This window comes from Homo sapiens, chromosome 8 (genome assembly GCF_000001405.40).
Source record: "Homo sapiens chromosome 8, GRCh38.p14 Primary Assembly".
In the NCBI taxonomy this organism is placed as follows: Eukaryota; Metazoa; Chordata; class Mammalia; order Primates; family Hominidae; genus Homo; species Homo sapiens.
Genome location: NC_000008.11, coordinates 109,939,479 through 109,951,713, shown reverse-complemented (window position 1 = coordinate 109,951,713; position 12,235 = coordinate 109,939,479).

Genomic DNA, 12,235 nt, shown 5'->3' with positions numbered 1-12,235 from the left:
TACATCATGGGATACCATACAGTCATAAACAAGAACAAAATCATGTTCCTTGAAAAAACACGGATTCAACTAAAGCCCATTATCCTAAACAAATTAATGCAGGCACAGAAAACCAAATACCACATGTTCTCACTTATAAGTAGGAGCTAAACATTGAATACACAGGAACATTAAGATGGAAACAATGGACACTGGAGACTACTAGAGAGCAGAAGGAAGGAGGAGACTGGCTGAACAATTACATACTGGGTACTATCCTCATTACCTGGGTGATGGGACCATCCATACCCCAAACCTCAGAATCACACAATATACCTACATAACAAACTTGCACATGTAATCCCTGAATCCAAATTTTCTTTTTCTAAAAAAGGTAAACAGATTGGGAAAGAAGAATAAAACTGTCTTTGTTCACAGAAGACACGATCATTTCCATAGGAAATCTAAATGAATCTTTTAAAACTCCTGGAACAAATAAGTGTTTATAACAAAGTTGCAGGACACAAGATTAAGATACAAATGTCAATCACTTTCCTATATATAATCCTTTTCTCATTTGCCCAAAGAATATTCACCAGTGGGGTTTGCAGCTGCAGCGTTTACTCCAAGCTAACTTTGCCACAAAGTATCTTGCTTTTATTATTTTCACATCATTCGAGTATATCAGCTTTGGAAACAAAAGACATCATTCTATTTATTGCATTCTCTTTTTAGTAGTGGTATTTCCACTTAGAAAATATAGTATATCTCAATCACTGAAAATGTCAAATCCTAGAAAATATAGCATTCCTACACACGATATTAACATCGTTCTTGAGTTGTAATTTGCCAAAGAATAATTTGATGAATCTGATTTTTCTGAAATAGACAATTCTGATGTTAGCTCTGTTTAGAAATAAATCCAAGAACAGGTTTTACATTTTATTTTCATATTGAAGATCAGTCAGATTTGTTTCAGCCTCAAAGAGTGTGTTTATGCAGAATTAAATGAGCACTGGCAGTGAGCTGCATTTTTTTTTCTAAACAGGAAAACAGATAAGCAAGGAACAAATGAAATTTGAAATTAAAACACAATGTCATTTACATTAGTACCCACAAAAATGAAATGCTTAGGTACAAATCTAACAAAATATATATATGATCTAATACATATTTATACAAAATACATGTAAGGTCATAAACTGATGAAAAAAATCAAAGAAGAACTAAATAAGTGGAGAGATATACTATGTTCATAGATACGAAGATAATATTGACAAATGGTCCGTTTTTCCCAACTTGATCTATAGACTTGAGGCAACCTTAATAAAAATCCCAGCAAGTTATTATGTAGATATCAAAAATCTGATTCCAAGGTTTATATAGGGGACAAAAGATGAATAGCCAACACAATATTGAATGAGAAGAACTAAGTTAAAGGATTGACACTATGTGACTTCAAGATTTACAGTAATCAAGACAATGTGGTATTGGCAAAAGAATAAAGAAAGCTGTCCGTGGGACAGAATTTGAGCCCAGAAATGGACTTACATAAATATAATCAACTAATCTTTGACAAAGAAGCAAAGGCAACATAATAAAGAAAATAGAGTATTTTTCAACAAATGGTGCTGCAACAACTATGTATCCACAAGCAAATAAATAAATTTAGGAACAGACCTCATACAGACAAACCCAGAATAATGTTTAGGCAAATATATGGGCACCCATTGTCCCTGTAAAGTTGATGCATAAAAATAACCATTATAGCATGTAAACAAGTGAAGAAGCTGGAGTACCCATAGACACAGAAATTTACCGAAGGCCACACAATAAAATAGGGATCCGAAAGACATTCTCTGGTTTACCTCTCAGTTCCTAATTCTTCTTTTTCATCATTCTGCCTTAAAGTCAAATAGAATTAGGTATTTTACAGTATTACATTAACGGACAGCATTAGGTAATGTCACGAAACATTTTTCCTAATAAAAAATTGCTCTTGAACTTTATAGTAATTACTTCTGGTATCTCTAAAGAAAATTACAAGTCCCATAAATTAAGAACCACCAAGGATATTCTTTCTCTAAAACTGTGATAGGAGTCTGTGAATATCTGAGTTTAAACCAGGATGAACATGAGTGTCAGATACTAAACAAACAAAGATAAAACAAGAGCTATTAACACTGATAAGGAAAAAATGTGCTATAATGAACGTCTAAGTGTCATTGTCACTCAAACTGACCCAGGTTTACCAATAAATTATTACATTATTTTTCATGTTTATCACTGGGACAGATAGCTAATTATTGTATTAGTCAGTGTTCTCCAGAGAAACAGAACCAACAGGATATGTGTGTGTGTGTGTGTGTACATGTGTAATTGCCTCACACTATTGTAGAGGCTGGCAAGTACAAAATCTGCAAGGCAGCCTAGGAGGCTGGAGACCCAGAGAACAGTTGCAGTTCAAGTCTGAAGGTAGTCTGCTGGCAGAATTTCCTCTTCCTTGGGGAGCTCAGTCTTTTTCTTAAGGTCTTCAGCTGATTGCATGAGGTGCATCCACATTATGGAGGACAATCTGTTTTACTCAAAGTGTTCTGATTTAAATGTTGATTTTATAAAAAAAAAAAAAAAAACCTTCAGAGAAACATCTAGAATAGTGTTTGACCAAATATCTCAGTACTGTGGCTTAGCCAAGCTGACATATAAAATTGATCATCACATTTTTCTATGAAAAATATATACAATATAATTTGTTATTAAGGGATTTCAAATTAAAACAACAAGATATCACTACATACTTAAAATCTGACAATGCCCAATGCTATAAAGGATTCAGAGAAACAGGAATTCTTATTCTTTGTTTGTGGGACTGCAAAATGAAACAGCCACTTTGGAAGACAATTTGGCAGTTTCTTGGCTTAAAAAGCTAAACGCAGACTGACATATGATCTAAAAATCACGCTGTTAGGTACTTACCAAATTGATTTGAAAACTTATGTCTACCTAAAAATTTGTATGCAAATATGCATAGCAGCTTTATTGATAATGACCAAAACCTAGAAGCATCCAAGATATCCTTTAATAGGTTAAGGTATAAACAAACTGTGACACATACATTCAATGAGCTATCAAAATACAAAAAGATTTGGGGGAACCTGAAATGCAGATTTCTAAGTGAAGCAATCAAATCTGAAAAGGATACATATGGCATGATTCCAATTATATGACATCCTGGAAAAAGCAAAAACTATAGAGTCAATAAAAAGCCAATAAAAAGACACCAGGGCTTGGTGGCAGGGGAGGGGATAAATATGTGAAGCACAGGGGTTTTCTACAGCAGTGAAATATTTCTGTATATTACACTGGTGTATATATGACATTATGCACTTGTCGATACTCATAAAGATTTACAAAACAAAAAGAACTATAATTTTTGCAAATTTAAAAAATAAAAATTTAGAAGGTTATTAGGAAGGAATGCAAACTCTGACAAATGAATCTAAGTATATTACAAATGTATGAAACTCTGAAGATAGAGGTAAAAGTGCTGACTTAAGTAACTTTAGAAATAAGTGGATTTCATAAGACTAAAAGCAAAAAGAACTGGACATAAGGACAGGGCTCTAGTAGATAAAGCTGTTCCCCATGAAGGTAGGTGTTAACAATTTTAATACTGCTACATATCTACATTGACTTTGAACAATTAAGTAAAAGCCTGGTGGATGGCTGCAGGTTTCTCAGTGTTGGAGGAAAGCAAGGGGAGGAGGCTAGAATAATCCATGTGGTAATTGATTAGAGTTAAACATATTAGTTTAATCTGAGTATACTAAAAGATGGTTACATAGTGTAATATTTATGGATATATATAAATAAATGACTTAGCACATACTCATATATCTATGCTTTGTCAGCTGAGAGGGTATATTAGTTCATTTTCATGCTGCTGATAAAGACATACACAAGACTGGGAAGAAAAAAAGGTTTAATTGGACTTACAGCTCCACATGGCTGGGGAGGCTTCAGAATCATGGCAGGAGGTAAAAGGCACTTCTTACATGGCAGCGGCAAGAGAAAATCAGGAAGAAGCAAAAGCGGAAATGCCTGATAAACCCATCACATCTCATGAGACTTACTCACTATCACAAGAATAGCATAAGAAAGACCGGCCTCCATGATTAAATGACCTCACCCTGGGTCTCTCCCGCAACATTTGGTAATTCTGAGAGATACAATTCAAGTTGAGATTTACATGGGGACACAGCCAAACCATATTATTCCACCCCTGACCCCTCCAAATCTCATGTCCTTATGTTTCAAAACCAATCATGCCTTCCCAACAGTCCCCCAAAGTCTTAACTCATTTCGGCATTAACCCAAAAGTTCACAGTACAAACTCTCATCTGAGAGAAGGCAAGCCCCTTCCACCTATGAGCCTGTAAAATCAAAAGCAAGCTAGCTACTTCCTAGATACAATGCGGATATAGGTATTGGGTAAATACAGCCATTCCAAATGGGAAAATTGACTAAAACAAAGGGGTTACAGGCCCCATGCAAGTCTGAAATCCAGTGGGGCAGTCAAATTTTAAAGCTCCAAAATGATCTCCTTTGACTCCAGGTCTCACGTTCAGGTCACACTGATGCAAGACATAGTTTCCCATGATCTTGGGCAGCTCCACCCCTGTGGCTTTGCAGGGTACAGCCTCCCTCCCAGCTGCTTTCATGGTATGGCATTGAGTGTTTGTAGCTTTTCCAGGCACATGGTGCAAGCTGTCGGTGGATCCACCATTCTGGAGTCTGGAGGATGCTGACCTTCTTCTCACAGCTCCACTAGGCAGTGCTCCAGTACGGACTCTGTGTGGGGTCTCCAACCCCACATTTCCCTTCTGTACTGCCCTAGCCGAGGTTCTCCATGAGGGCCCCACCCCTGCAGCTAACTTTTCCTTGGGCATCCATGCACTTCCATACATCTTCTGAAATCTAGGTGGAGGTTCCCAAACCTCAATTCTTGACTTCCGTGGACCCACAGGCTCAAGACCACATGAAAGCTGCTGAGGCTTGGGGCTTTCATTCTCTGAAGCCATAGCCTGAGCTCTACATTGGCTCCTTTCAGCCATGACTGGAGTGGCTGGGACACAGCACACCAAGTCCCTAGGCTGCACACAGCATGGGAACCCTGGGCCTGGCCCACAAAACCACCTTTTCCTCCTGGGTCTTCAGGCCAGTGATGGGAGGGGCTGCCATGAAGGTCTCTAACATGGCCTGGACACATTTTCCCCATGGTCTTGGGGATTAACATTAGGCTCCTTGCTACTTATCCAAATGTCTGCAGCTGGCTTGAATTTCCCCTCAAAATAATGGGTTTTTCTTTTCTACTGCATTGTCAGGCTGCAAATTTTCTGAACTTTTATTCTCTGTTTCCCTTTTAAAATGGAATGCTTTTAACAGCACCCAAGTCACCTTTCAAATGCTTTGCTGCTTAGAAATTTCTTCTGCCAGATACCCTAAATCATCTCTCTCAAGTTAAAAGTTCCACAAATCTCTAGGGCAGAGGCAAAATGCCACCAGTCTCTTTGCTAAAACATAACAAGAATCACCTTTGCTCCAGTTCCCAACAAGTTCCTCATCTCCATCTGAGACCACATCAGGCTGGACCTTATTGTTCATATCACTATCAGCATTTTTGTCAAAGCCATTCAACAAATCCCACATTTTCCTTTCTTTTCCTGAGCCCTCCAAACTGTTCCAACCTCTGCCTGTTACCCAGTTCCAAAGTCACTTCCACATTTTTGGGTATCTTTTCAGCAACGCCCCACTCTACTGGTACCAATTTACTATATTAGTCTATTTTTATGCTGCTGATAAAGACATATCCGAGACTGGAAAGAAAAAGAGGTTTAATTTGACTTACAATTCCCCATGGTTGGGGAGGCCTCAGAATCATGGTGGGAGGTTAAAGGAACTTCTTACATGGTGGCAGCAAGAGAAAATGAGGAAGAAGAAAAAGCAGAAACCCCTGATAAACCCATCAGATCTCATGAGACTTATTCACTGACCTTCACCTGGGTCCCTCCCACAACAAATGGAAATTCTGAGATATAAAATTCAAGTTGAGATTTGGGTGGGGATACAAATAAACCATATCAGAGGGCCCAGAAGAAACAGCAGTCCAGTAATTGAGCACAGGTAGTGTCCAGATCTTGGTTTCTAAAACCATTCTCAAAAAATAAAAATAAATAAAATTAAACAGAGATACTTGGATAAATGGCTAATTCTAGGCCAGGAAAGGAACTATACAAGATAAGCCTGGAGCATTTTGTAATGCCAGAGAGTAAAAAAGTGCACGCAAAAAAATTTATTAAAAACCCAAACCAGAAACACCATATACATTGTAGATCTATGTCAAAGGGAGCCAACTGCTATAAAAGTTCCCAATAGCTGAAGCTGAAACAATCTGAGCAACAATATATCAAAGAGTGTTGTATCGTAACTCACAGTATAAAATAAATATCAGTCCATATTGGCATAAATGTTTGAATAAATTAATAAATGTCAGAGAAAAGACAAATCTTTCCTGCAGAAAATAATCCAAATAATTTATTAAGATAATCCATCCCATAAAATGGGAAGCCTAGCTTCCCACTCCATAAATGTTGGCTTTTCATAGGGCTTTTCACAGAAAGTTTACAGCATAGACAATGGAAAAGAAAACAGATTACAGTAAAGAAACATAACAAACACTGTTTTAGCTATGTGTCCAGGGTCAATACCAATAATCATAAATCACATTGATAGTATATACCTGTGATGGTTAATACTGAATGTCAACTTGATTGAATTGAAGGATGCAAAGTATTGATCCTGGGTGTGTCTGTGAGGGTGTTGCCAAAGGAGATTAACATTTCAGTCAGTGGGCTGGGGAAGGCAGATCCACCCTTAATCTGGTGGGCACAATCTAATCAGCTGCCAGGGAATATAAAGCAGGGAGAAAAACATGAAAGAGAGAGAGACTGGCCTAGCCTACCAGCCTACATATTTCTGCATGGAATACCTCCTGCCCTCAAACATTGGACTCCAAGTTCTTCAGTTTTGAGACTCAGGCTGGCTATCCTTGTTCCTCAAGCTTGCAGACAGCTACTGTGGGATCTTGTGATTGTGTAAGTAAATACTTAATAAACTCATATATATATATATATATATATATATATATATATATATATATGAGGAACAGAGGAACAGAATATTAAGGATAAAGTTCTTTCATTGGTTTTGGGGTTTCTGGAGTTGGCTGCTTATGAATAGACCCAAAAATACTAAGGACTCTACTTCTAATAGTATAGAGAACGCTGATAGTACTTGGCATAAACTGTTTAGAGAGTTATGCAAAATAAATGCATTTGACACTTCTGATTCACTGCTCATGAGAGGCAAGAAATTTAGTGTTTAGTGACTCTATACATAATACTTTTGACCATATGTGGAGAACCAAGGAATATAATGTAGCTGGTTGGTTGCTCCTAAGTTCAGTGAACAAAGTGATGAAAGAAAATGATGAACTTGAGGATTCTGTCCTCCAGCTTCAAAAGCAGATACTGAGCCTCAAATCTGCTAAGACTGCCCTGAGAGTCTTATCGCCTGTAGAGAAAGAGCTGAAATTGTGGAAAGACAGACTCAAGCTCTTATTATGCGAGTGGCTGACCAGCAACGAAAGATGCACGCATGGCCTTGCCAGGTGTCTATTGTTAAAGTGAGGGCATTGATTGGAAAAGAATGGGACCCTGCAACTTGGAATGGGGATGTGTGGGAGGACCCTGATGGACCTGGGGACACTGAGTTTGCAAACTCTGATGAACCTTTTTTGCCAGAGAGAACACCTTCCCCATCCTCAGTAGAGGCAGCATCTCCTCCCCGATTCATCCCGCCATCAGTCTTTCCACCTTTGCCTGAGGAGATAAACTCTGTGCTGCCTGAAGCAACAGTGATGGCCTCCCCTGAGGCAATTGCCAGGCAAAATAATGTTGATTTTCCTCAGGAGCCACCCCAATACCCCGTTTGCTTCTAGACCTATAACCAGACTCAAGTCCTAGTAGGCTTCGAGAGATGAGGTTGACCCATGAGAAGGTGTGCTACATTCGAAAAGAACTGCTTGAGTTCTATAATTTATATAAACAGAAATCTGGAGAACAGGCATGGGAATGAATATTAAGGATATGGCATAAGCTCCTCTCTGTATGTCAGATCTAACAGTGGGAACCACAGTCACTCAACTATAAAATCTAAATACAATGGGAAAAATTGGATCATGAGGTAGCAGAAGCCTAGTGGTGGCACTCGACTATCAGAAACAAGGTTGGTGTGGCTACTGTAATGGACAGCAGAGACAAAAGAGCAATCAGAATAGTCTGACTCATGTAGAGCTCTGGCATTGGCTAATTAATCACAGTGCTCCTAGAAGTGAAATTGATAGGGAGCCTACTGCATTCCTGCTTAATTTATACAAGGAGAAAACTTCTAGGTCAAATGGACAAAAGACTAATTTGAATTATAAAAACAGAGAATCAGGGCCCCTCAATCAATTTCCAGACTTGAGCCAGTTTACAGACCCAGAACCCCTTGAATGAAGAGGAGGCCAGGTCCCCTTGAGGAAAGACCCCACTACATTATTGACAATTTATGCAGTGAATCTCTCTCCCATCCTTCTCAAAGGAGACCTCCAGCCTTTTACCAGGGTAATTGTGCATTGGGGAAAGGAAAATGATCAGACATTTCAGTGACTACTGGATACTGGTTCTGAGCTGACATTGATTCCAGGTGACCCAAAACGTCATTGTGGTCCTCCAGTTAAAGTAGGGGCTTATGGAGGTCAGGTAATTAATGGAGTTTTAGCTATATCTGACATACAGTGGGTTCAGCGGGTCCCCAGACTCATCCTGTGGTCATCTCTCCAGTGCCAGAATGTATAATTGGCATGGACATACTTAGCAGCTGGTAGAACCCCCATATTGGTTCCCTGATTGGTAGAGTGAGGGCTATTTTGGTGAGAAAGGCCAAATGGAAGCCATTAGAGCTACCTATACCTAAAAAAATAGTAAATCAAAAACAATATCACATCCCTAGAGGGATTACAGAGATTAGCACCACCATCAAGAACTTGAAAGACACAGGGGAGGTGATTCCCACCACATCCCCATTCAGGTCTCCCATTTGGCCTGTGCAGAAGACAGATGGATCTTGCAGAATGACAGTGGATTATTGTAAGCTTAACCAATTGGTGACTCCAATTGCAGTTGCTGTACCAGATGTGGTTTCACTGCTTGAACCAATTAACACATCTCCTGGTACCTGGTTTGCAGTCATTGACTTGGCAAATGCCTTTTTCTCCATTCCTGTTCATGAGGCCCACAAGAAGCAATTTGCCTTCAGCTAGCAAGGCCAGCAATATGTCTTTAATGTCCTACCTTGGGAATATAACAACTCTCCAGCTTTGTGTCATGATCTTATTCGGAAAGACCTTGATCGCTTTTCACTTCTGCAAGATATCACACTGGTCCATTACATTGATGACATTAAGCTGATTGGATCCAGTGAGCAAGAAGTAGCAAACACACTGGACTTATTGGTGAGATATTTGCATACCAGAGGACAGGCAATAAATCTGACTGAAATTCAGGGACCTTCTACCTCATTACAATTTCCAGGAGTCCGGTGGTGTGGGACCTGTCAAGATATTCCTTCTAAGGTAAAGAATAAATTGCTGAATTTGGCCCCTCCTATAACCAAGAAAGAGGCACAATGCCTAGTGAGCCTATTTGGATTTTGGGGGTAACATCTTCCTCATTTGAGTATGTTACTCTGGCCCATTTATCAAGAGACCTGAAAGGCTGACAGTTTTGAGTGGGATCCGGAATAGGAGAAGGCTCTGCAACAGGTCCAGGCTTCTGTGCAAGCTGCTCTGTCACTTGGGCCATATGACCTGGCAGATCCAATGGTGCATGAGGTGGCAGATAGGGATGCTTTTTGGAGCCTTTGGCAGGTCCCTATAGGTGAATCATAGCGGAGGCCTCTAGGATTTTGGAGCAAGGCCCCACAATCTTCTTCAGATAACTATTTTCCTTTTGAGAGACAGCTCTTGGCCTGTTACTGGGCTTTGGTGGAAACTGAACGTTTGACTATGGATTATCAAGTCACCATGACAGCTGAACTGCCTATCATGAACTGGGTGCTTTCTGACCCATCTAACCATAAAGTTGGTCGTGCACAGCTGCATTTCATCATCAAATGGAAGTGGTATATACATGATTGGGCTCAAGCAGGTCCTGAAGGCACAAGTAAGTTACATGAGGAAGTGGTTCAAATGCCCATGGTATCCACTCCTGCCACCCTGCCTTCTCTTCCCCAGACTGCACCAATGGGCTCATGGGGAGTTTCCTATGATCAGTTGACAGAGGAAGAGAAGACTAGGGCCTGGTTCACAAATGGTTCTGCATGATAAGGAGGCACCACCCGAAAGTGGACAGCTGCAGCACTACAGCCCCTTTCTAGAACATCACTAAAGGACAGCGGTGAAGGGAAATCTTCCCAGTGGGCAGAACTTCGAGCCATGCACCTGGCTGTGCACTTTGCATGGAAGGAGAAATGGCCAGGTGTGTAATTATATAGTGATTCATGGGCTGTACCCAGTGGTTTGGCTGGATGGTCAGGGATTTGGAGAAAGCATGATTGGAAAATAGGTGACAAAGAAATTTGATGAAGAGGTATGTATGTGAATGGACCTCTCTGAGTGGTCAAAAACCGTGAAGATACTTGTATCCCATGTGAGTGCTCATCAACAAGTGGCCTCAGCAGAGGAGGATTTTAATAACCAAGTGGATAGGATGACCTGTTCTGTGGACACCACTCAGCCTATTTATCAAGCCACCCCTGTCATTGCCCAATGGGCCCATGAACAAAGTGTCCATGGTGGCAGGGATGGAGGTTACCCATGGGCTCAGCAACATGGATTTCCACTCACCAAGGCTGACCTGACTGCAGCTACTGCTGAGTGCCCAATTTTCCATTAGCAGAGACCAACACTGAGCCCTCGATGTGGCACCATTTCTCGGGGTGATCAGCCAGCTACCTGGTGGCAGGTTGATTATGTTGGACCTCTTCCATCACGGAAAGAGCAGAGGTTTGTCCTCACTGGAATAGACACTCCAGATATGGGCTTGCCTATTCTGCACGCAATGCTTCTGCCAAGACCATGGACTCATGGAATGTATTATCTGCCATTAGAGTATTCCACACAGCACTGCCTCTGACCAAGACATTCACTTTTCAGCTAAAGAAGTGCGGCAGTGGGCTCACGCTCATGAAATTCACTGGTCATACCATGTTCTCCATCATCCTGAAGCAGCTGGATTGATAGAACGGTGGAATGGCCTTTTGAAGTAACAATTACAATGCCAACTAGGTGACAACAGCCTGCAGGGCAAACTAGGTGACAACAGTCTGCAGGGCAAACTAGGTGACAACAGCCTGCAGGGCAAACTAGGTGACAACAGCCTGCAGGGCAAACTAGGTGACAACAGTCTGCAGGGCAAACTAGGTGACAACAGTCTGCAGGGCAAACTAGGTGACAACAGTCTACAGGGCAAACTAGGTGACAACAATTTGCAGGGCAAACTAGGTGACAACAGTTTGCAGGGCAAACTAGGTGACAATAGTTTGCAGTTCTCCAGAAGGCCGTGTGTGTTCTGAATAACCAGCATCCAACATATGGTACTGTTTTTCCCATAGCCAGGATTAATAGGTCTAGGAATCAAGGGGTGGAAGTGAAAGTGGCACCACTCACCATCACCCCTACTGACCCACTAGCAAAATTTTTGCTTCCTGTTCCTGCAACATTATTTTCTACTGACCTAGAAGTCTTAGTTCCAGAGGAAGGAATGCTGCCACCAGGGGACACAACAATGATTCCATTAAACTGGAAGTTAGCATTGCCACCTGGACACTTTGGGCTCCTCCTACCTTTAAGTCAACAGGCTAAGAAGGGAGTTACAGTGTTGGCTGGGGTGATTGACCCAGACTGTTAAGATGAAATCAGTCTACTACTCCGTAACAAAGGTAAGAAAGAGTATGCATTCAATACAGGAGATCTATTAGGGCATCTCTTAGTATTACCCTGCCCTGATTAAGGTGAGTGGAAAACTACAACAGCCCAATCCAGGCCGGACTACAAATGGTCCAGACCCCTCAGGAATGAAGGCTTGAGTCACTC